Source organism: Homo sapiens, chromosome 22 (genome assembly GCF_000001405.40).
Source record: "Homo sapiens chromosome 22, GRCh38.p14 Primary Assembly".
NCBI classification, from domain to species: domain Eukaryota; kingdom Metazoa; phylum Chordata; class Mammalia; order Primates; family Hominidae; genus Homo; species Homo sapiens.
The window spans coordinates 44893681-44918597 of record NC_000022.11 but is presented as its reverse complement, the minus strand read 5'-3'; the positions used below and the strand labels follow the sequence as shown (position 1 = coordinate 44918597).

General features: G+C 50.3%; 1 protein-coding gene and 1 pseudogene across 9 annotated transcripts in view, besides 2 other annotated features; one reads left to right on the top strand and one right to left on the bottom strand.

Annotated features, from left to right (window-relative positions):
- The window catches only part of PHF21B (PHD finger protein 21B), a 128844-nt gene that overhangs the window by 91408 nt on the left and 12519 nt on the right, over positions 1-24917 (top strand). For 8 of the 9 annotated variants that reach the window (NR_134535.1, NM_001135862.3, NM_001413063.1 and 5 more), the window contains 3 exons: positions 1968-2318; positions 4636-4776; positions 22515-22566. Coding sequence is in view for 8 of the 9 variants with exons in the window: in NM_001135862.3 (NP_001129334.1) it covers positions 1968-2318; positions 4636-4776; positions 22515-22566 (544 nt within the window). In the remaining variant the exon portion in view is untranslated. Of the gene's footprint in view, positions 1-1967; positions 2319-4509; positions 4777-22514; positions 22567-24917 lie in introns of all 9 variants that reach the window. The other variant, NM_138415.5, reaches the window with a different exon arrangement.
- On the bottom strand, positions 16148-17027 carry RPL6P28 (ribosomal protein L6 pseudogene 28; annotated as a pseudogene).
- Positions 22260-23223: an enhancer, noted in NCBI's record as "H3K4me1 hESC enhancer chr22:45291255-45292218 (GRCh37/hg19 assembly coordinates)". NCBI's record gives its function as "activates a minimal SCP1, AML or CMV promoter by ChIP-STARR-seq in naive H9 embryonic stem cells {active_cell/tissue: H9 hESC(naive)}" and the evidence as "EXISTENCE:reporter gene assay evidence [ECO:0000049][PMID:30033119]".
- Positions 23224-24188: an enhancer, noted in NCBI's record as "H3K4me1 hESC enhancer chr22:45290290-45291254 (GRCh37/hg19 assembly coordinates)". NCBI's record gives its function as "activates a minimal SCP1, AML or CMV promoter by ChIP-STARR-seq in naive H9 embryonic stem cells {active_cell/tissue: H9 hESC(naive)}" and the evidence as "EXISTENCE:reporter gene assay evidence [ECO:0000049][PMID:30033119]".

Genomic DNA, 24917 nt, shown 5'->3' with positions numbered 1-24917 from the left:
CCTGTGTTGGGGCCAGCCTGGCAGGGTGACTGCAGATCTGAGAAAGGAGAGAGGGTGGGGACAGGGTGGACCCGGGGGCTTCCCGGCCTGGGGCTGCATACAGGCCAGGAGGCACAGGCAGAAAGATGATAAGCTCCAAGGTCCCCTGAAGGTGTTCTCTGTGGGGTGGCTCAGGCCAGATCCTGAGCTTCCAGCTGAGCTTAGTTTCTGTGTCTGGCATCTGTGATTGACGCCAGCTCGCCCATGCCCAGAGTCTGCTTACATAGGGTGGGCGGCCAGGGTCAACAAGAACATGTGGGCAAACCCCAGATGATCGACCAGAACACGGAACGGCCACTGCCACAGCTGAGGTCCTCACTGACCACCACATGGGTGTCCATCCGCCCCCACGCCAGTCCTCTTCAGAGGCGGAGAACAGCAGTTTTCCAACGGGTAACTTTCTCCAGCTGAGGGCCGGCAGGAACGAGAAGATGGATTTTTTAAAGCCTTTGGTATTGGAGTTTCTGTTGGGCTGTAAGCCTGGCATTGGGGGACAAAGGCCCTGACCTCTGGTGCCAAGGACAGAGTGGCAGGCTTACCTGAACCCAGGCTGGCCACATCGCCTGCCCGTGGTGTGGCCAGGGCCCTGATGTGGGAGGCCGGGCTCATTTTGCTAAGGACCCAGCATGGCAGGGGACACAGAGATCACTAGACTCAAGGGCCAGCTCTGTGCCAGGCACTGGTGAGGAGCTGACAGACGTGATACTGTCCAACTGAAGAGCACGCTGTGCCTTGGTGACCTGCCCAAGGCCACAGGGCCCTGTAGGAGCCACCCTGGACCACTCCTTCCACATGCACCACTGGACACAGGGTGGGAGGAGATGGGCGGGGCAGTACAGCGCTCTGTGCCCTTCACCGATGCCAGACAGGCCCTAATGATAACGACGGTAGCATCATTATTACCGGTGAGGCTCCATTATGCACCTCAGTTTGCTTATCTGTAGAACAGGCCAGGATGGCCACCCTGCAGTGCGAGCGCAGCGGGGTTCAGATGAGAAGGCAGGTCGTACCCCTTCTCCTTGTCCCCTTGTCTCTCAAGGCATAATATTGGCGTGGACCTCCCAGGGTTGGTGTGTCCTCATCTGGGGCATGTGGCGCTCCTGGTTCCATGCATGGGGTCAGTGGTGGTGGCTCTGATGGGAATTTCCACCATCAGAAACACTCTGCTGGGTGTGGGGGTGCTGGTGACAGCCCTCAGTCAAGTACACCCAGCACTTCCTGTGCATTTTCTTTCTTCCGAACCCCAGTAAGTCTCATCACCTCATGCAGATGAGGGACCTGGCCCAGTTCAGGTGTGTCACCAGGACCCCAGAGGAGCCAGGATTGGGCCCAAACCAACAGTCTGTCCAGAGCCCTGGCCTGAACCACCCAGTGGCTGCCCGGCTGCCCTCTGCACACCTTCACTGTCAGGCCCGCCGCAGTCACGCGGGCTCAGCTCTGGTTTTCACGGGAGCGCAGCAGCAGCCCCCACCCAGACTGAGAAGCAGAACTGGGCAAGGCCCAGGAGCCCTCGAAGCCCCTCCCAGTCCCTGCCGAGGGGCAGCGCTTTCCAGACTTCCAAGGCCAAAGGGGGCTTTGCCGCTTGGGACTTGATCTGCAGGGCGTCACACTGCACAGACTGTCCCCTCGCGCCCAAGCGCTGCCTTCCAAGCCTCCCCGCTGCTCTTCACCGTTTTCTCTGAGTGCAGCTGGGAGGGCCGTGGGTCCAGAGCAGCCCCTCCTGAGCCCCGTGGCCAGTCGGTGCAAGCCCAGGAGGAGGGAGGCATTGGGGTCGAGGTCTCACCTGCTGTGAGGCCGTGACAGGCGCTGTGCTCTTTCCAGTGCTGCCCCTTCCCCTTGAATATAGGAAGTCTCCGAGCCAGGGCGGCCCCTCCCCTGCACTCCTGTGTGTCTGCCTGTCTGACCACATACCTGTCCCTTCTTCCCAGGTTAGGCCAAAGACTCTGATTCCAGACAGCCTCCCCGTTGCCCCGGGCCGGGACCGGCCACCCAAGCAGCCCCCAACATTCCAGAAGGCCACCGTGGTCAGCGTCAAGAACCCCAGCCCAGCCCTCCCCACCGCCAACAACACTGTCAGCCATGTGCCAGCGCCCGGCAGCCAGCCCCAGGCCCTCGCCGAGCCCGCCGCCCTCGCCTCTCCGCTGAGCAGTGCGGGGGTGGCCTACGCCATCATCTCCACCTCCCCCAGCAATGCCGCCGCCATGGCCCCCAGCACCGCCGTGTCTGTGGTCAGTGACAGCATCAAAGTCCAGCCCCTCCTCATCAGTGCTGACAACAAGGTGAGTGCCCACCAGCAGGCTCCGGAAAGGGTGTGCGGCCGCATACAGGAGGCCGAGAGCAATCATTTGGGAAGGGCCAAATGAACAAGCCCAGGCAGGATGAATGACCAGGAGGCAGAATGATCAAGTGGACAAATGAATGAATGGGACGGAAACAGAGGAGCAAATGAATGAATGGAGTATGAACACATGATTAAGGGAGTGAATTAGTGCATGAACAAATGAATGAATATGCGATCCAGAGACAATACGGCTGCATGAATTAATACCAGTGGAAAAGGAGTGATTGGTCAATGAATGAATTCATTCAAATGATTAACCAATTAATGACATGTGTGGCTGAATGAGTGACTAGAAGAGATACTGATTCTCTGTTTCTGCTGGTGGAGTTGGACGGTCAAGGGCTGTTTTTACCCCACTGCCCAAGTGCACAATCTCCCATAATTTCTGCCAAGTTTTAAAACTAAAACTAAGGTCCTCCCGCTGCTCCCCTCCGAGCTCCTGGTGGTTGTGCTGTTTGAGGCCTTCGGGGCTGCCTCATCTCTGCCGTCCCCTGTCTGTGGCCTCTTTCTCTCTGTTCCCCATTTGGGGTCTGCCAGGCCGCCCCTCTCTTGCTTATGGCTGGGGTACCTTCTGCTTCCCCAGCCTGGATGTTGACGGCCGACCCTCATGTGAGCTGGTGCTGTTGCACCCAGTGCATTCCCGGGAGTCCTGTGCTTCCAGGCTCTCCCGCCCACTGAGGGCCCCTCAAAGAATTCGCAGTCTGAAGAGTTGTCATGGGCCATGGTGGGATGGCAGGTGTATCCCAGGAGGGCACCTGATCCAGACAAGGTGCTTAGCAGATGCTGGAAGGAGTGTGTCTGTTTCACCCAACTGCACCAGCATTTGATGTTGGTCATTTAAACACTGTTTTGTTCATTTACTAGGCACATAGATGCCTCATTGTTGAAAGTTGAATTCCCTTGGTTACTGTTAAGCTTCAGTGTTTTTCTTACACTTAAGAATTCTATCTTCTCATGTGTGACTTGAGAATATTCTTTGCCCTTTTTCTTATTGGAGATCTTAATGTTTTTCTTCCCATGGATATAAAAATGGACATATTTCTTCCATACAGAGATTTTGGGGTTTTAAAAATGTGATACAAAGAGGAAGACAGAGCTTCCCTTAAGCCAGCAGAAAAATGGGACATATTTTCTCTTTGTGCTCAGAAGCCTCAAATTCATCAGACAGTCACCACCCGTGCTTAGGGAAAAACAAACCAAAAAAACACCCAAGTTCAAGTAATTCCTAGTTTAAACCAGACTGTGGCTGATGGATCCTGGAGAATTCTTCTTCTTGGAGCCGTGAAAACTAATAATTCTTTCCCAATTTCCTGTCCAAAGAAATAAAATGGTAGAGCTAGAGATGGAGCGGATCCTGGCCCAGGGAGAGGCTGGGCCGGATGGGTGGATTTCAGGCTGACTTTCAGCATCACACCGTTTCATCAAACCAGATCACCCCCTGAGCCTCGAGGCAGGCTGGCTAAGGGGGGCTGCTGCAGGGTGGCATCTGAAGACCCCCTTCCCCTTCCCCATCCACCACGTGAGGGGCCTCATGGCAGTGAAAAAAAATAGAATGTTATTCCCACCTGTGCCCCCAAGCCAGGGTTGTGTGTCTCAGGCACTGTGGTGTGGGGAGGGAGAAACGGAGCCAGGCTGACCTGAGGGGTTCCCAGCTCCTCTGCCTCCTGACTGGATGGCCTCAGGCCAGGAGCAAGTCTGAGCTCTCGTGGCCTCAGTTCATCTGCACCTGAGCTGGGATGAGAAGTCCTCGCCGCCTGAGTGTGCACGGCCTCCCTGGGGAGAGGTGTGGCCAGTTTCACTGATGACCAACCTGACTCTCAGAAGCAGTGACTCCCCTGAGGCCACACAGCTGGGAAGCGGTGGGGCAGGACTGGAACCCAGACCTTCCCAGTTCCTAAACCAGGCCAGCTTCTCATGCAGACCCTCCCCATGGTGGAAAAGGTGTGTCAGGAGGGGCAGGTGCTAGACAGACAGGGGCGCAAACCACCCAGTTCCCGGGGATCCGCCCTCCCAGGTTGGCCTGGCCCAGGCTCTGTGCTCCCCAACCCCTGCCCTGTGCCATACCAGCTACCTCCCCAGCCCCCCTCACTCTTCCCTTCCTCCCTGTGCCCCTCACCCTCGCTCTCCAGCCTCCTCCACGCCTCCTCTCTTCCCCTCACCCCGCAACCCATCACTGTCCCCTCCACCCCTCCTCTCTTCCCCTCACCCCTCCCTCCCCATCACTGTCCCCTTCACCCCTCCATGGCATCTTCCAGGTCATCATCATTCAGCCTCAAGTGCAGACGCAGCCCGAGAGCACGGCAGAGTCGCGGCCGCCCACAGAGGAGCCATCTCAGGGAGCTCAGGCCACCAAAAAGAAGAAGGAAGACCGGCCCCCGACCCAGGAGAACCCCGAGGTAGGACAGGCCTCTCCGGAGGGCCCAGGCCCTGCTCAGTCTGCAGGTGCCATCTGAGGCCGCTGTGTATAGCGGGGATGGCCTCACTGTGGGGTGGTCCCGACAAGCCGTGGGCACAGCTGCCCTGTGCAGTCGGCGACCAGGATGGGGCCTCGCCAAGCAAGCCCAGGTCTCAACTGTTCTATCTCAGGGAGGCACTGGCTGAACGGCAGTGTGAGGCAGTTGTTAGCACAAATTCTAGAACCATTCTGCATGGGTCCTGCACTGCCAGTTTCCAGTGGTGTGACCGTGAGCAGCTCGCGTCTGTTTGCTCATCTGTAAGGTGGGAATGGCAGGGCCTCCTTCCTCACAGGGCTGCTGGGAGGATTCTGCGAGTTCATGTTTGCTGAGCCCCTGGACAGCACCTGGTGGGGACTTTTGGCCACTACACCCCATCCTAGGGGCCCCGGCTATGGGCCCCTCTGTCCTGAGTCTAGGAGGGAAAGGGGCTCCTCTGGGCAGTGGCCCCTGCCTCTTCTCTGCCATGGCCAGTCCTGGGTGTGTGCAGGACCCTGGGCACTGTAGAAGTAGCTGTGCCCCAGGCTGGCACGAGAGGTGCAGATGTCTCCTGAAGGTGCCTGGAGAACTTGCCAGAAATTGCCTATGTCTCCACCTCTCCCACACAGCCTCTGAAGGAGGCCAGATAAATAAGCTCATATTGAAGCATCCAAATACATAGTGGATGCGCAGCCCCTGCACTGATGGTGGCGCGGGGACAGCAGCTGACTCAGGGCCGTCCTTTGCTGAACTGGTGGTGGCAGCAGGTGTACTGCAGCTTGGTCCTCGGCATCCTAGGCCAACACCAGCCCCACATCCTCCACTCTGGGTCTTTTCCATTCAACCCTTCCCACCCAGTTTCCTTTTCTTTTTTCCTTTCTTTTTGTCTTTTTTTTTTTTTTTTTTTGAGATAGAGTCTGACTCTTTGAGCCATGCTGGTGTGCACTGGCACCATCATAGCTCACTGCAGCCTCAACCTCCTGGGCTCAAGTGATCCTCCCACCTCAGCCTCCCAAGTAGCTGGGACTACAAGGTGTGCACTACCACTACTGGCTAATTTTTTAATGTTTTGTAGAGACAGGGTGTATTAGTCCGTTTTCATGCTGCTGATAAAGACATACCCAAGACTGGGCAATTTACAAAGGAAAGAGGTTTAATGGAGAACTCACAGTTCCACATGGCTGGGGAAACCTCACAATCATGGCGGAAGATGAGGAGCAAGTCACATCTTACATGGCGGCAGGCAAAGAGAGAGCTTGTGTAGGGAAGCTCCCGTTTTTTAAACACATCAGATCTTGTGAGACCTATTCACTATCACGAGAACAGCATGGGAAAGACCCGTGCCATAATTCAGTTACTTCCCACCAGGTCCCTCCTACAACATGTGGGAATTCAAGATGAGATTTGGGTGAGGACACAGCCAAACCATATCATTTCACCCCTGGCTCCTTCCACATCTCATGTCTTCATATTTCAAAACCAATCATGCCTTCCCAACAGTCCCTCAAAGTCTTAACTCATTTCAACATTAACCTCAAAAGTCCACAGTCCAAAGTCTCATCCGAGACAAGGCAAGTCCCTTCCACCTATGAGCCTGTAAAATCAAAGCAAATTAGTTACTTCCTAAATACAATGAGGGTACAGGCATTGGGTAAATACAGCCATTCCAAATGGGAGAAATTGGCCAAAACAAAGGGGCTACAGGCCCCATGCAAGTCCGAAATCTGGTGGGGCAGTTAAACCTTAAAGCTCCAAAATTATCTCCTTTGACTCCCTGTCTCAGATCCAGGTCATGCTGATTCAAGAGCTGGGCTTCCACAGCCTTGAGCAGCTCTGCTGCTGTGGCTTTGCAGGGTATAGCCTCCCTCCTGGTTGCTTTCACCGGCTGGTGTTGAGTGTCTGCAGCTTTTCCAGGTGCACAGTACGAGCTGTTGGTGGATCTATCATTCTGGTGTCCAGAGGACAGTGGCCCTCTTCTCATAGCTCCACTAGCCAGTGCCCCAGTAGAGACTCCGTGTAGGGGCTCCAACTGCACATTTCCCTTCTGCACTGCCCTAGCAGAGATTCTCCATGAGGGCTCTGCCCCTGCAGCAAACTTCTGCCTGTATATCCAAGCATTTCCATACATCTTGTGAAATCTAGGCAGAGGTTCCAAAACCTCAATTCTTGACTTCTCTGCACCTGCAGACTCAACACCATGTGGAAGCTGCCGAGGCTTGTGCTTCCACCCTCTGAAGCAACAGGCTGAGGGGTACCTTGGCCCCTTTTAGTCATGGCTGGAGTGGCTGGGACACAGGGCACTAAGTCCCTAGACTGCACACAGCAGAGGGACCCTGGGCCCAGCCTAAGAAAACATTTTTTCCTCCTAAACCTCTAGGCCTACAATGGGAGGGGCTGCTGCAAAGGTCTCTGACATTCCCTGGAGACATTTTCCCCACTGTCTTGGTGATTAACATAAGTAACTCCTCGTTACTTATGCAAATTTCTGCAGCCAGCTTGAATTTCTCCTCAGAAAATGGGATTTTTCTTTTCTATCGCATTGTCAGGCTGCACATTTTCTGAACTTTTATGCTCTGTTTCCCCTTTTAAAACTGAATGCCTTTAACAGCACCCAAGTCACCTCTCAAATGCTTTGCTGCTTAGAAGTTTTTTCTGTCAGATACCCTAAATCATCTCTCTCAAGTTCAAAGTTCCACAAGTCTCTAGAGCAGAGGCAAAATGCCGCCAGTCTCTTTGCTAAAACATAACAAGAGTCACCTTTGCTCCAGTTCCCAACAAGTTCCTTGTCTCCATCTGAGACCACCTCAGCCTGACCTTATTGTTCATCTCACTATCAGCATGTTTGTGAAAGCCATTTAACAAATCTCTAGTAAGTTCTGAACTTTTCCATATTTTTCTGTCTTCTTCTGAGCCCTCCAAACTGTTCTAACCTCTGCCTATTACCCAGTTCCAAAGTCACTTCCACATTTTGGGGTATCTTTTCAGCAACATCCCACTCTACTGGTACCAATTTACTGTATTAGTCCATTTTACACTGCTGATAAAGACATACCTGAGACAGGACAATTTACAAAGGAAAGAGGTTTAATGGAGAACTCACAGTTCCAGATGGCTGGGGAAGCCTCACAATCATGGCAGAAGGAAAGAAGGAGCAAGTTACATCTTACATGGATGGCAGCAAGCAAAGAGAGAGCTTGTGCAGGGAAACTCCCATTTTTACACCCATCAGATCTCGTGAGACATTCACTATCACAAGAACAGCACAGGAAAGACCCGCCCCATGATTCAATTACCTCCCACCAGGTCCCTCCCATAATATGTGGGAATTCAAGATGAGATTTGGATGGGGACACAACCAAACCATATCACAGGGTCTCTCCATGTTGCCCAGGCTGGTCTTGAGTTCCTGGCCTCAAGCCTCAAGTGATCCTCCTGCCTCAGCCTCCGAAAGTGCTGGGATTATAAGTGTAAGCCACCAAGCTCAGACTCGGTTCCCTTTTCCCTCCCTGTTGTGCCCTTCATTCCACAAGATTGAGTTGAGACATGTTGGCCCCCAGGAGTGGTTTCTGACCACCATGTCCCCAACTGCAGCACCCCGCCCTGGACCCCCTGGGCCCCTGCAGCTCCCAACGATTCTCCCCATCAATGTACTGTCATTACCAAAGGAAACCTGTTGTGCATCCCTTCACTTTTTCCTTTAGTTGTTCAACATGCCTTCGAGTTTGCTCCCTGCCAGGCTCCGTGCCAAAGGCTAGGGACATCAGGATGCAGGCAGCCATGGTCCTTGCCCTTGGAAAACTCACTTCCATGGGTAAAGACAGAGATGGCTACCAAGGACTCTAACGGGTTCAAAAATGCGTGTGTCGTGAGAGAATTCTAAATGAAGGGCTACAGGAGATGAGGGCAAAGGGAGAGAGCTGTTTCCTCCTGGAAGGACTGAGGAAGGCTTTGGAGAGAAGGGGCATGGTCTGCAGGGGTAGAGGAGTTGCCAGGATCCAGCAGAGAACAGGAGGCAGAGGGGTAGCTCACCAGCTGGAGGGCACTGCATAGGCAATAGCACACGAGTGGGAAAGGATTCCACACACCCAGAGCAGTCAGCTGGGCTTTCGGACTGCAGTAGGGGGTGAAGACAGACGTGGGAACCTGGTCCTGGAGGGCCTGAATGCAGGCTGACAAAGTGGAGCTTTATTCTTAGGTAATGGGGAGCCACGGAATATCTTTGAGCAGAAGAATGACTTGATTATTGTCCTTCGACATGTCTAAAAAGCCAGTGAAGTCAAGGAGCTGCTAAGTGAGGCTGCAGCGTGAACCAGGTCTCCTCTGTGGCCCTGGGCCTAATCGTCTCAAGAAAGTCCGTTCCATTCTGTGGCAGTGTCTGCACCTGCAGGTGCACTGTGAGGCCCTGGCTCGGCTGGCAGCCCAAGACTCCCATGATGACCCTTCTGTCCTCTCTTGGGGTTCAGCTGCACCCTTAATATTGGGGAAGGTATTCTGGGTGGATTCTCTTTGTTCTCTCAAAGTATTTAATATATCTTAGTCAATTATTGTGCATTTATACAATTAGTATAATTACATCTAATTACATAATTAGTGTAAACATATGCGATGACTTAGATAGATAGAACTTGCAATTACAGCATGTCCTGGGATAAAAATCCTTATTAAAGTTTATTTTAAAAGAGGACCAAGGCCAGGCGCAGTGGCTCACACCTGTAATCCTGGCACTTTGGGAGGCCAAGGTGGGCGGGTCATCTGAGGTCAGGAGTTCAAGACCAGCCTGGTCAATAGGGTGAAACCTGGTCTCTACAAAAATACAAAAAATGAGCCAGGCATGGTGCCACACAGCTGTAATCCCAGCTACTTGGGAGGCTGAGGCAGGAGAATCGCTTGAACCTGGGAGGCGGAGGTTGCGGTGAGCCAAGATTGCACCACTGCACTCCAGCCTGGGTGACAGAGCAAGACTCCATCTCATGTACATACATACACACATACATGCATACCAAGAAGAGCTGTGCTGCACAGACTGCTGGACCTTGAACCTGTCAGTGAAGTGTCTGAGTTAGAGCCTAGAAACCGGACAGCAGTAGCTGCCCCCAGAAACGTCACAGGAGGAGCCAAGGTCAGCCAGTAGGGGTGTGGATTTTTGTGAAGAAACATGATTGGTGTTTGGGCAACTCCGCTGTCGCTGCAGCTCCCCAGAAAGTGGCACTTGCCCTCAGCAGGGCACATGTGGGATGGCCAGCCCAGGGGTTGCTTGGAGCCACACTAAATGGCAACAGGGGCTGCAGCAGAAGGGGACGTCGAGTCAGCAGTGTCCCAGAGTGACCCATGCACCATGGGGAGAAATATTTCAGTAGCTCTCAGACCCCATAAGGCCCATGTGGGGAACAGCAGAACGAGATAAGACCACCTAGGAGGGTGTTAGCTGCCGCCCGTCCATGCTCAACATGGGTCAGTTTCAGGCCCCACAGGAAGGGACTGTTGTTAGCCCATGGTACAGATGGGGACGCTGAGGCCCAGAGGCACTGATCCTCAGAGGTGGGAGCCACACTCTAGCTTCTGGCCTCAGAGTCTGCAGTCTATGCCGTGAAGCCTCGCCACTGGAGACGCCATCTCTGCCTTTGGTCAGGCTGAGTGGAGGTCAGGTTTGGGGTCAGAACCTACTGCTCAGGACCCGAACCGCTCAGTCGTGAAGAGGCTGCCCGATACTTTGGGTTATCATCCTTCCCTGATTTTCCCACTTACAGCTCCCAGCTTTTCCTGCATATAAACATTATGGGCGTGAAAGGGGCCGCATTACCAGCCTTCCCAGGGGGCCACAAGGCTGGCCTCACCCCCCCAGCGCCCCTGTACTTCCCAGAGATTCCAGCAGGTCAGTGGACCGTGGGATTGTGTTCCTGGCCCTGCATCCCTCTTTGCTGTGGCAGCTAGGGAGCTCACAGGCCAGTCTGTGTCCCACCTCTAATAATTGTCAGGGCCTATGACATGGCTTCACCTTACTTTCCTAGGTTTGCTGTCCTGTCTCCTTTCTTCCTTGTTTACCGTCTGTTTCAGCGTGTTGTGCAAATGCCCCACAAAACCTTTTCCCAGAATCAGGATAGATGTAAGTAATGAACGCTCATCTCTTAGCTGTGTTCCGCCCTTCCCGTGACCAAGGCCAGAACCTCCTTGAAGGGCCTGTCCTTTTGTGTGTGGCTGAGACTGCCCTAAGGACACTTGCTTATCTGCCCTTCCAGGTCACAGACAGGGAAGCCAAAGTCTCTCATGATCCTAAGCCCAGGGCTCCCAGGCCGTGTACATCCCACGCCCCACTCCGCACCAGGCACGTGCGGGACGCTGAACACGGCTGGCCTGTTCACCCCACACAAGCACACAGAGGTGGGATCGTGTCCCCTTTAGGATTTACAAACCACAGGCTCACAGCACCTTGCCCAAGGTTGTAGCTGCAACTCAGCTTGAGCCAGCCGGGCCGTGACCTCACATCCCCAGCCTTTCTGCCATCCTTCAGATGCCTCCTGATTTCAGCCATAACAGAAAATGGCACCTACAGCAATACATAGAGAATGGGGACCCAGGAAGCAACTCGGAGCAGAGGCGGAGGCTGGGGGTGGGCGGGGCCACTGTCAGACTGAGGTTCCCAGGCTGCCTCAGCTGCCCTGGGGTTTCTCACAGTAAGGGTGAGGTTGCGGCACGGACATGCTTCCTAGCAGGCTCCTCACATCTGCAATGCTCTAAAACGCGTGACATGTATGTACCTACAGGTGTCAAGGTGATGGGCAGTGGAAGCTCAGGGATGTGAGGTGGCAGTGTCCACTGCAGGGCGGTGGCCATCACCCCACGCTGATCGCCACTGAGTCTCACGGCTGACTGTGCTTCCCCTTCTCTCAGGGATGTGAGGTAGCAGTGTCCACTGCAGGGCGGTGGCCATCACCCCACTCTGATCACCACTGAGTCTCACGGTTGACTGTGCTTCCCCTTCCTTCTCCCCCTGTCGTCACGGCGGCTGCACAGTAGCGGGGGGCAGGAATTACAAGGTTCATTTTACAGACGAGGAAGCTGAGGCTCAGAGGGAAACCACATGTACGGTCACGGAGCTGCATGCTAACTTCAGACAGAACCTGGGCTTCTGGCTCCCGACCCAGGGCGCTGTCTGCTCCCTCCTGTCCCAGGGCCTACAGCCTGCCTTAGGACAGAGCTGCAGCCCTCTCTGGGGCCAGCCATTGTCCTGGCCTCAGCTAGCATCTGAATGAGTCTGGCTGCCCTCAAATCAGTACACGCCCTGCAAAGGGCAGTCGGAGCAAGGTCCCAGCCCCGCACCTCTCTGAGCAAGCCCTGTTACACACACGTTTCGGCCCTGTGCCCAGCCCTCCTTCCTGTCTCATATCTGCCCGGGGCTACTGCAGTGGACCCTGGCCCGTCTCCCTGCCCCTGGATGGCTTCCTCCCTGTCTATTCGCCCTGCAAATGATCTTTCCAAAATTCAGAAATAACTAAGTCACTCCCCCTCTTGAACTCCATCCAAGCACCCCGTCCATCAGGAAGACTCTGGGTTCACGTGAATGGACCTCTCCGTTTCAAACCCACAGCAACCCCAGATACAGTGGAGAGAGAGAGGATAATGATGGAGCTGAACGTTGCTGTGTCCCTAAAACACGGCAGCCAGGGACCCACACCCTTGGTTCGGAATTGAGCAAGGGTGACCCTGAGGGTGGGCAGCTCACACAGGGCAGCGGGTTCCAAGAATTCCTTGGGTAAGAGACAAGTTGACCAGGCTTCTCTGCTGGTCCGGGCCACAGCCAGACCTAGGGAAGTGGCCAGCGCTGAGGCAACTGCAAACTTGCTGAAAGGGAAGGGTAAGCGTGAGGGAGAGAAAAAGAAAGAAATTGTGCCCAGCACTTCGGGAGGCCGAGGTGGGCGGATCACGAGGTCAGGAGATTGAGACCATCCTGGCTAACACGGTGAAACCCTGTCTCTACTCAAAATACAAAAAATTAGCCAGGCCTGGTGGCGGGTGCCTGTAGTCCCAGCTACTCAGGAGGCTGAGGCAGGAGAATGGTGTGAACCCGGGAGGTGGAGCTTGCAGTGAGCTGAGATGGTGCCACTGCACTACAGCCTGGGTGACCGAGCGAGATTCCGTATCAAAAAAACAAAAAACAAAAAAACAAAAAGAAATTGTGCCCAGGTAAGTCTCGACAGAATTCTAACATATGCGAGATCTCATGCCAAGGCTGGCGATCAATGAAATCAACATTTCGAACATGAATTTATTCCAGATGAAGTGAATTGTGCTAAATACTCTAGCAACAGCTTTTAAATAAGTGTATTTAAGATCCACAAAGAAAGGAGTAATGTCTAGAAATAAGGAATAACGAAGCACAAAAACCAAGGATATAAAACATTTAGATGAACATAAAAATTCGAGAATTTGATGATGACAAACATGGCGATGAGATGACATTTGAAAAGCTTACTAGACGGCAGGAACAGAGATAATTAGTGCTTTTGAATAGGATACCGTGCATGGAGCACAGAGATGCAAACATGTAAAAGAAAAAATAGGAGCAGGCAGGGACAGAAAACAAGTGGGGAAACCTCGCTTTCACCTCATGGGGCTTTCAGCAGGAGGGAGTCGGTGTAGGGTGACAGGGCAGGTGGAGAAGCAAAGCTGAAGAATGTCCCAGGATTGAAGAGCATCAGTGTGAGTTTTTAAGTCAAAAGTAGACTCCATCTCTCAGGTGGGATTAATAAAAGCAAATCTAGGAGGCTAGAGATTCATGTCAAAGATAAAGAGAAAAATCATAAAAAACTACCAGGGCAAAAACAGCGGAATGACAGATGTGCCGGGGGCCTCCAGCAGCCTCAGGCAGATGACCACAGAGCAATAAATATCTGCAGACTGCCGAGGGAAAGTTGCTGCCAACCTGACCCAGCCCTGTCTAAGCTAAGACTAGCTCAGATACTCCCTTTCCTTTTGCACTTCAAGATGGACTTCTGATCTTCAGGGAGTGCATGCCACTGACTTTTTCTGCAGCCTGTGGCTCCTTGGCCCTCTCTGGAGTCCCCTACACCACTCCTGGCCACTGCTCATTGCACCATTGGCTTGCTGCCCAGCCCTGACCTCTGCTGCCTCTGACGACACTAACACTTCTTGCCCAGTCTGCCGATGCTCTGCTCATGTCTGAAATCCACAAAATGAAGAAAAAAATTCTTGTTGCTATTAGTTTATAGGGGATGCAGGGGGAGTCTCAGTTCTAAGTAGCTGCTCTGTTCCTTCTGGAAGCTCAGTTAAGTTGTTTTTCAAGAGCAAGGGCAAAAGAAAGACATTTTACACATAGGAAGACTAAGGGTTTTATCACCCACAGACCATCCTTAAAAGAACTGTGCTTTTGCCAGAAGATAGATGAAGCCAGAGACAGCCAGTGGGTATAAGAAACAACCGAGTGTATAGACTGTTAAATTATAGGTAGATGTATTTAAGTGTAGACTGAAAAAAAAAATCCAGTTTTGTTTTACAAAGCAGATAAAAGGAAAATTCTAGGAAACAATAAATTGGTTGGAGGTGATGTTTTAGAGGGAGTTAGAACATGCCAGGAGCAGTGTAATTTGGGGAAGAAGAATAGAAATATTAACTCCAGCCTTTATTAGAAAAGTGTATAGTTAGAAACATATGCTCAAAACATTTAGGCTAATCAGTGAAAAAAATGTAATGCCACCTATAATTTCTAAATCAGCAGAGGAAAAAAAAAGTGAATGTGGAGCTTTTTTTTCCCAAGAAGTAGGAAATGAAAAAGGATACACTGAAAATACAAATAAAGTAGAGGAAATAAGTCCAAATAACTCAGTAACCATAATAAATGCAAATGAAATCTTCCTACTTTTAGAGAAATGAAAACAGGCTTAAAAACAACACAATCCAGTTGTGTGCTGTTTGTCAGAGGCATACCTAAATAAACAACACCAGAAAGGTTGAAAGGAATGAAAAAGACATATTAATGTAAATACTAAAGGTACATCCATCAAGATAATTTAACAGTCACGAACTTAAGTGTACCATAGCAACATCGTTTGGGATATGCATTTGGTGCAAAAGTAATTGTGCAATTACTTTGCACCAACCTAACAGCAGAATTGTAAAAGGCAAATTTGACAAAATCTGCAGAACACAGTTTTGAACACACGTCTATCAGAATGAAGCCAGTTGATCCCACAGGGCAAAAAGACTTGGCTGAGCTTCCAGAAGGAACAGAGCAGCTACTTAGAACTGAGACTCCCCCTGCATCCCCTATAAACTAATAGCAACAAGAATTTTTTTCTTCATTTTGTGGATTTCAGACATGAGCAGAGCATCGGCAGACTGGGCAAGAAGTGTTAGTGTCGTCAGAGGCAGCAGAGGTCAGGGCTGGGCAGCAAGCCAATGGTGCAATGAGCAGTGGCCAGGAGTGGTGTAGGGGACTCCAGAGAGGGCCAAGGAGCCACAGGCTGCAGAAAAAGTCAGTGGCATGCACTCCCTGAAGATCAGAAGTCCATCTTGAAGTGCAAAAGGAAAGGGAGTATCTGAGCTAGTCTTAGCTTAGACAGGGCTGGGTCAGGTGAAAGCTGGGCCTGAGATAATATAGAGAGAATGTGCTGGAGGAGGGAGTGCTTGGTGTTGTCAGGTCTTAGAAAGTGCCAGGCAAAATATGTCTCCTGGAGGGATTGCACCTGCAATCTGTAAGGCATCCAGGAACAGGGAAGGTGGCAGAAATGCTCTTTGACCATGGGGGAGAGGCAGAGGAGGCGTGGTTAACCAGAGAATCCCACTGAGGGACGAAGAATGAAGTCAATTGCCTTGGCAGGAGAGGCAGAGCCTTTGAGTTGCTTCTAGAAGGCTAATGTAATCCCTTTCCCACCTGCTACAAATCTCCAGTATGGGAAAATTCAGCTCATTTAGTTATGTTTAACAACAAAACATCAATATGAAGCTGCTATAAGCAAAAAATACAGGAAAGAGAAGTTATTTTTACCATAACATAAAGAATACTAGGAAAAAAAAATTGATATCCTGCTGTGATTTTTTAAAAAAAACTTAATGAAACAATCAGCACTAAGAAGGAAACTACATGGCTAAAATACACAGATTTATGGAAGAGATGGCTAAGTGGCTAAATTACTGGAGAGAATTAACCATGAGCTGGAATTATTCATGAAAAATAATAAAACCATCCCAGAAATGGATGCATAGCTGAATGAACACAGAGGGCCATGGATACAGCAGAAGACACGGTAAGGGACACCAGAGGCAGAAGGGGGAAAAGTATACGAAATTCAAAAAATAGTTATTTTATTTTTATATATCCTTTATTAGGTTCTTAAGAAATTTAGAACACCAGTTTGTGAGGGATAAACTCCACTCATCAGGGCAAACACAGATCTCAGGTAGCCCTGGAGCTGAGGAATAGCTTTGATACTCAGTAAAATTTGTGAGTCCACAGCTTTTTGATGATCAACCTTGCGCTGCCCTGTAATCTTGTACTTCTCTGTTTGTGTGTCGAAGAGCTCACCTTTCTGGTGTCTGGGGTTCTGCAGCTGCTGCTGCTTGAATTAAGCATCAGTAAGATGTATTGGGATTTTCACATTGCTGATACCAATTTTGGTTGAGGTGGCAATGGCAAATTTCTGGTGTGTCCTCAACTGAGGACCAGAGGTCCAGACACAAGTAACAGCCACTGCCCAGCTCTTCAGGAGAACCGCCCTCTTGCCTCTGTGGTGTCCAGTGAGGATGATCAGAAGGTCCCAGGGGTGATGCTGGCTTACAATTTTCTCCCATGCTGGCTGAAGGGGTTTTTGCCATGGCTCAATAGCTTCCAAGGCATGTCTTCAGTAGGAGAATATCTAGGCATTTTGTGAAGTTGAACCAGCCGGGTACCACCATTCTTGTCACCACCAACTGTTTGTAACAGTTGCAAGAACCTTCTCCTCCTTTTTCTTTTCAACCTTGGATTTAGCAGCTGAGTACTTCCTCTTGTACACGGCCTTTCTGGAATATGTAGCAGATTGGGAATATCTGCCAATTCCTCTGACAAGGATGGGATTTCAGCTTCAATGGGGCTTCCCCCTTGGGCTTTTTAGCTTTGAGGTTCCCCCTTTTCACCTTGCCACCAGCATCAGCCTTCTTGGCTTCGGGTTTCTTCTCCTCAGTATCCAACTTCTCACCATCTTGCAAGATGGGAAAGAGAACTCAATAATGAGTTTTTAAGTTTCAGAGTAAGTGAAACCTACAGGAGGCAAGCAAAGAAGATACAACACATGTATAATGGGAGGCATCAAAGAAGGAAACCAGAATGATGAAAACATTTCCATAATTTCCTGCAATGAGGTGAATTTGGCTGTCCTGTGGTTGGCATTGGTTCCTGTTTCCTGTTCATAACCTGTCTTCAAATGAGTGTCAGTGGAGGGGACTCGGGGAGGAGAAGATGATGTGAGGAAGTGGAGGCACCACATTCCCAGTGTTCTCCCAGCCCAGCCTTCCCAGGTCAGGCCAGTAAAACGGCTGCCAGCAGCTCAGGGCATCCTAGAGTCCCTGCCACTGTCCAGTTAGTTAGACACAGGGTCCAGAAGTGATATTTGAACCAGGTGGCACCAGACTGCTGCCAGACTGGTACTGATTGGCCGAGCTGCTGGATGGCCCCAGAATTCCCAGTCAGGTGGCTCTGCAGCCCCCTCAGCTGCTCCACTGATCTTCCACCTATGTGAGTGCACATCTCACAGGATTGAGTTTGACAGACCCCACTTTTCATGGTATGGTGATGCTTCACTTTTTGAAATATAATTCAAGGAAAATGTCCTGAACTTTTAAAAAGACTTTATAATCTGCATCTTGAAAGGACACATTGGGTCCCAGGGACAGCTGATGTGTGCTCCAGGGGGAAAATGTGTAATGCTGAGACACACCCAGTGAAGTTACTGATTGACTATGGAAACAAAAGAATCCTATAGGCATCCAGGCCAAAAAAAAAAAAAAAAAGAGTCACTTTAGAGGGAAAGCAGTTAAGCTGGTGTCTGACTTTTCCACAGCCACATTCAATTCCAGGATACGCTAGAGTAACATCTGCAAGAAAATAAGGGAAAGAAAGAACAAGCCAAGGATTTCATTTGCAGCCAAGCTGTCCTTCAAGTTTAAAGGCTACAGATAAAAAGTTGTAAATCTAGCCGGGTGCAGTGGCTCACGCCTGTAATCTCAGCACTTTAGGAGGCCGAGGCGGGTGGATCACTTGAGGTCAGGAGTTTGAGACCAGCCTGGCCAACATGGTGAAACCCCATCTCTAGTAAAAATACAAAAATTAGCTGGGCGTGGTGGCGGGTGCCTGTAATCCCAGCTACTCGGGAGACTGAGGCAGGAGAATCACTTTAGTCTGGGAGGTGGAGGTTGCAGTGAGCCAAGATCATGCCACTACACTCCAGTCTGGGCAACAAAAAAAAGTTGTAAATCTTTGGAGAGCTCAGGAAATGTTCCATGAGCCATTTATGAGAAACTGCTGGAGACCCAAACCCAAGCAACCAAGAGACATGGGGAAACTTTGGTACCAGCACTGGGGTGAGCATCAAATATATTTAACTGTGGGTGAGGATGTCAGAATAGAGTTTAAATATGATGTGTTCCGATAATATATAAAAGATTCATGTAAGTAAAATTGAGAGGAGAAGGAGGGAAAGAAGGTGGGAAGTGGAAAGAGTTCTCAGATGAGCTTATCTGTAGCAGTTGGGACTTTAAATGAATCAGAAAATACCCTTTAAAGCTGAAAAATTAAAGAGAACCATTTTTAACAGCATAGAAGTAAAAATCAGAAAGGAGTAAACTATTTGAGAAAACCCAAGAGATTTGCTGAAAAACCCAAGAGATCTGGAAAACTCAAGAGAATTGCTGAAAAAGCTGCAGACAATAAGAGAATTTGGCATTGCAGCAGGGTGTAAAATTAAGGTAAAAATATCACTAATCTTCATAGCAACACAGTAACCTGTTAGAAGCTTTATACACAACCCCATTTATGATTGCAGCAAAAAGATTAAATGCCAAGAATAAACATAATAAGAATATTCAATATTTAAGGAAAAATTTAAAACCCCTTAAGACAGAAGAAGAGGAGAAGGAAGGAGAGGAGGAGGAGAAGAAGAAGGAAGGAGAAGGAAGAAAAGAGGAGAAGGAGAAGAAAAAAGAAGAGGCTGGGTGTGGTAGGTCACGCCTGTAATCCCAGCACTTTGGGAGGCGAGCCAGGCAGATCACCTGAGGTCAAGAGTTCGAGACCAGCCTGGCCAACATGGTGAAACCCCGTCTCTACTAGAAATACAAAAATTAGCTGGGCTTGGTAGCAGGCACCCATAATCCCAGCTACTTGGGAGGCTGAGGCAAGAGAATCGGTTGAAACCAGGAGGCGGAGATTGCAGTGAGCTGAGATCATGCCACTGCACTCCAGGCTGGGTGACAAGAGCGAAGCTCCGTCTCAAAAAAAAAAAAAAAAAAAAAAGAATAAGAACAGAGGGGCATGTCATAGATTTAAGTAGGAAAACTTAATAATATAAAACTGTCATTATGCCCAAAGTTAATTTATAATTTTAACATTCCAGCAAATCCACCAACTGATTCCCTCATCCTCAGAGCTTCCTAAGATGGTTTCTAAATTTCACATGAAAAAATAAGAAGAGCCAGGAAACTGAACAGGAAAAACAGTGAAGGGATATTCTAATCCTCCCGGATATTAAAATAGACCCTAAAGCCTTGAGAACTGAACGTGTGGCAGGAGCTCCTAGAGAGGCAGATTTAAGGAACAAAATAGAAGGCCCAGAAATAGACCCAAATAGATCTATGATAATTTAGTATATGATTAAAGTGGCTCCTTAAGTCAGTGAAACACGGGAAGATGGAATTTTCAGTAAATGGTATTGGAACAAATGGTAGCCATACAGAAAGCAGTGAGCCCGGACTTCACACCGGGCACACCAGGATCCGTTCCAAATGGATCAAAAATTTAAATGTAAAAAGTGAAACTATAGAGACTAAAATTATTTTATTACCTCAGCTCCTCTAGCCAGGATCCAAACAATCAAAACACTGCAAAAGAAAATATTGATAAGTTTCATTACAATTTAATTTAAAATTTTAAAAATTAAAAATTGATGCATTTTAAAATTTTTACTATAATTTAAAAATCGATACTCTTTTTAAAAAAATCTAGATGCATGGCAACAAAGTGAAAAAAGCCCTGCCTGAGTGGAGTCTGATTCCCAGCTCCTTAAGTGTGAGCTGCCCATGGTGACTTATTCCCAATAAGTATGGTATGGGGGCACGGGGCAGGCACGGAAAGAGTGGCTTTGCTGAGTGGAGCTTGGCAGACACACTTCAGCCAGTGACCAGGGTCACCAGCAGCTATGAGTCAGGTGGGTGGTCTACGCCCTTGCTGCGATGTGATGAGAAGGTGTGTTACCTCTGTGGTCTTCCTCCCCCAAACCTACCACCCCAGCCCACTTACGAGGAAAATATCAGACAAATCCCAATTGAGGGTGGCTCTGCAAAATACCTGACCAGTCCTCCTCAAGCTGTCCAGGTCACCAAAAAAAGACAAGCTGAGAAACCCTCACAGCCCAGAAGAGTGTAAGGAGGCATGATATCTAAATATCATGTGGGATCCTGGGACAGAAAACAAAGGGCTGGGCACAGTGGCTCACACCTGTATCCCAGTGCTTCCAGAGGCAGAGGTGGGAGGATCGCTTGAAGCCAAGAGTTTGAGACTAGCCTGGGTAACATAGCAAGACCTCATCTCTACAAAAAATTTAAAAATTAGCTGGGTGTGGTGGTGTGCACCTGTAGTCTCAGTTACTTGGGAGGCTGAGGCAGGAGAATTGCTTGAGCCCAGGAGTTTGAGGCTGCAGTGAGCTATGATTGTGCCACTGTACTCCAGCCTGGTTGACAGAGTGAGACTCTGTCTCTAAAAAACAAAAAGACTAAAGAAATCCAAATAAAGTATGGGTTTTAGCTGATAATAATGTACCGACGTTGGTTCTTTAGTTGCGATGAACTGGGTGTGGGGTATACAGGAACTCCCAGTAATGAGTCTTGCAACTTCCCTGTAAATCTGAAACTACAATAAATAAGCCAGCCCCATAAATAAAAGATAAAGGGGGAAAATATATTGCAAGTCATATCCCAGACAAGGAAATATTGACTCACAGATTCATCAAATACTCACGAGCACCTACTCTGTGGCCGGCCTTGAGTGAGGCTCCAGGAGTTGTTCTTCCTACAGCGTGGTGGCTGCAGGACTCCTGGCAGGCTGTCTCTCAAGGCCAGCAAGAGAGCCTCACTCCCGTCACCAACAGGGGTCTTATATAACATCATACGCCATAGGAGTGGCTTTGGCACCTCTTCGCTCTGTGATGTTACCTAATCCCGTGGTATTTTCAATCCTGCCCACACTCAAGGCAGGGAATGATACGGGGTGGCTACACCGCAGGGTAGGGGCTCGGGGGCCATTCTAGATTCTGCCTTCCACCACCAAAGAATGTCAAATGAAAAAAAAATGCCCTAGTGAGCTCTGTAGACAATACAGTGTCATGACCTTTTCACAAGTCAAAAACAGGTAATGGCTGGGCATGGTGGCCCACGTCTATAATACCAGCACTTTGGGAGGCTGGGGTAGGCCTGCACCCAGGAGTTCAAGACCAGCCTGGGCAACATGGCAAAACTCCATCTCTTCAAAAAATACGAAAATTAGCTGGGCACGGTGGTGCGCACCTGTGGTCCCAGCTCCTCGGGAGGCTGAGGTAGGAGGATCACTTGAACCCCAGAGATTGAAGCTGCAGTGAGCTGTGATTACTCCAGTGCACTCCAGTCTGGGTGACAGAGTGAGAACCTGTCTCAAAAAAAAAAAAAAAACAGATAAAACTAAGTGCCACCCTGTTTCATAAGTGACAGAAATACATGCATATGTATACAAAGTCAAAGAAATGGTCATTACAAAACTGGAGAAGGTCATTACAAAACTGGAGAAATGGTCATTACAAAACTAGGATCACTAGAAATGAGGGTGAAAAGAATGAGATAAAGTGAGGAACACAGAAGAGATGCAACTTATGGGTCAAGTGTCAGGTTTTGAGTTTATTAGTAGGTTCATGATGTTCAATTTATTATTAAATAAAATGAAGGACAGCCATGAAAGGACCAATGATGCAAATGTGTTATGAACCAGTGACGTGTTATGTGACATTGATTAGCCCAGCTGTGTGCACCTTAGCTCTTTAAAGTATATTTGAATACGTGTATCCAGTGTTTTCAAGGAGCCCCTCCAAATCGAGCTGTAGATGCTTTCTTTGGGAATCCTATTTCCCTGTGTTTCTTAGAAACTGACTTGGTGTCTGGAGTTAGGGGCCTTAGTGGTTGGGGCACCCATAAGGATTAGCCCAGCTATGTGCACCTTAGCCCCTTAAAGTATGTTTGAATACACGTATCCAGTGTTTTCAAGGAGGCCCTCCAAATTGAGCTGTAGATACTCTCTTTGGAAATCCTATTTCCCCACGTTTCTTAGAAACTGACTTGGCATCTGGAGTTGGAGGCCTCTGTGGTTAGGGCACCCATGAGGTATCGCCCTGCACCTGCCACAGCAGATGTTTGTTGAGTGCATGAATGAACTTTGACGGTTGTGTTAATGCTCCTTTGTCTGTTCCTTCCCTCAGAAAATCGCCTTCATGGTAGCGCTAGGCCTGGTTACCACGGAACATTTGGAAGGTAAGGAAGGATCCAGGTAGCAGCAGGTTGGGCTGGGACTGACCCGAAAGCCGGGGTGTTGGGGGCCAGGTGTGATGATGGGTGGTCTGGGCTTCAGCAGCAGCCGATATGGGTGGAGCGTGGCCTCACACTGCTGCAGTGGGTCTCAGGATGTCCCGGCTCGGATGGCAGTGTCTGTGTATAAACCACCTCGCAGGAGGTCTGCCCCAAGTGCCTGAGGCTGGGTGGCTGTCATCAAAGACGAACAAGACAGAGAAGCCTTCCAGACTCGCCCTGGCTCCATGACTATGCACAATACCCACTGTGGCACTTCCTTGTTTCAGCGGAGGGACCGTGTGGGCTCCCTGCTCTCAACACAGGGAAATGACAAGAGGCAGACTGCCCGGTCCCACCACTTTCTTAAGTGTGGGCAGGTTACTTCTGTATGCCTCAGTCTCTTCATGTATAAAATGGGTAATGGCCGAACTGTCCTCTGGGGATTGTTGGAAGCAGTGCCCAGCACAGTGGGAGAGCTGACCACCAGCTCCCCTGCCGTCATACTAGCCTGCGGACTTCATGTGTGCCACCAAATGTGTCCGTGAAAATTGGAACAGTAGTTTATTTGAGCAGACAGGGCACTGTGACTCTACGAAGGGGCTGTGTGACCTTACGGATGAGGGCAGCTTCACATGGGCCGTGAACATCATCGTAGAATGATGAGGGCAATCTCACGTGAGCTGTGAACGTCATCCTAGAATCTTAGGGCCTGGGAAGCCTCGAAACCAGCCCCCTTGGGGAAGCCCCCATGGGGAAGCTGAGGCCAGGGAAGCTGATTCACTTGCCCAGGGTCCCAGGGCCAGTTGATACCAGGCCCAGGCTGGAATCCAGGCCTCCTGACTCCCAACCCAGAACGTATTCCACCACACCCACCTCACCTGCAAAGGCGTTTTATAAAGGGAAAGCACATACCCTGGTAAACCTGGATGCGGGAAGGTTCGCCTAGCGTTCCTCTTCTTCAAAGCAAGAGGGAATGAAGTGAACCCCCGCGGTGCCCGAGGCACTAGCAGTCTTGAAGTTAAGAGTTTCTATCCATTGCAGCAGGTGAGCCACCGAAGCCCAGGGGAGGGGAGGGACCTGGCTGAGGTCACACAGCTCATCCGGGGCAAGTGGGAGCAGGGCAAGCCTTCCTGAGCTCAGCAGAGCCCAGCGCGCGGGGACAGCAGCCTGCCATGCAGGCTCCGAGAAGACAGCCCTCTCCCTTTATGTCCCCTGGGTCTGACTTGCTCTCTGGCAGCAGCCAGGATGGGGAGAGCCAGGGAAGAGCCCCAGCCTTCCAGATCCCTGGGCAGGGAAGCCCCCTGTAAGCAACCCTTGCCCCTGGCCTTCCTCACCCTTCTGCGTGCATGGTTGGAAGGCATTACCCTCCAGCCAAGGTTCCTTTGTAAGAACCTCTGTGAGCTCCCCGCCTGATGGTGTGAGCTTGAGCGAGATGAATCCCGCTGCCCTCAGCTTGCCTTTGGGATTGATTTAATCTCTGACCGAAACCACGGTGCCACAGAGGCAGCATGGGGCTGTGGGGACAGAAGTCTTATGCTCAAGTCCCGCCTGTGCACTGGCCGGAGTCCCTAGGCAAGGTCCTTCCCCACTCCGAACCTCAGTTTTCTCATCTGCAACATGGGGAAAACTGCGCCTGTAAACTTCGTGGAGTTGGTGAGGGACTGATCGAAAAGTGCGTTCCTAATAGGCGTGATCATTATTGGTTTTATAAATAGTCCTCATTTAGAAACCTCTCCCCAACCTCTGCTGTGATATCCTTAATTCTTTCTTTCTTTAGACCCTGTGTTATTCCACAGAAGGTCTGAGTGCCTTACAGAAAACAGGCTGAGTAATATTGAGAAGGTTTAAAAAGCAAAACTAGGTCCGGGAGACAGAGATTAGAAGACGCTAGCACAGCTGCACACAGAGAGGCAGGTCATGGGTCCTGCCTGGGGGTCAAAGCAAAGAAAAAGGAAAAGAAAACACCGTCAGTGTGGCCATGCCCCCTCTCGCTCGCATGCGAAGGATTCCTGCTGGGGGCTGCACTGGGGCAGAGGCCACCTGGGTAGAGGCTTGCTCCTGGGCTTCCGGGAGCTGGGAGCCTCACCCTGCAGCTCACTGGACCAGTGGGTATCACCCAACCTGTGGGTATCTGCCATCCTGTGGGTCCCCAATAACGGCCATGGGCCAGATAGGGACACAAAAGGAGGACCCCGTGCTAAGAGTGGGCACCTGGATTCTGGGTACCTGCCAGCCTCCCACCAATCTGTCATTCAGCCTGAGGCCACCAGAGCTGTCCTGCCATGGAGTCAGTGATTCCTGGAGGCCCTAACCCA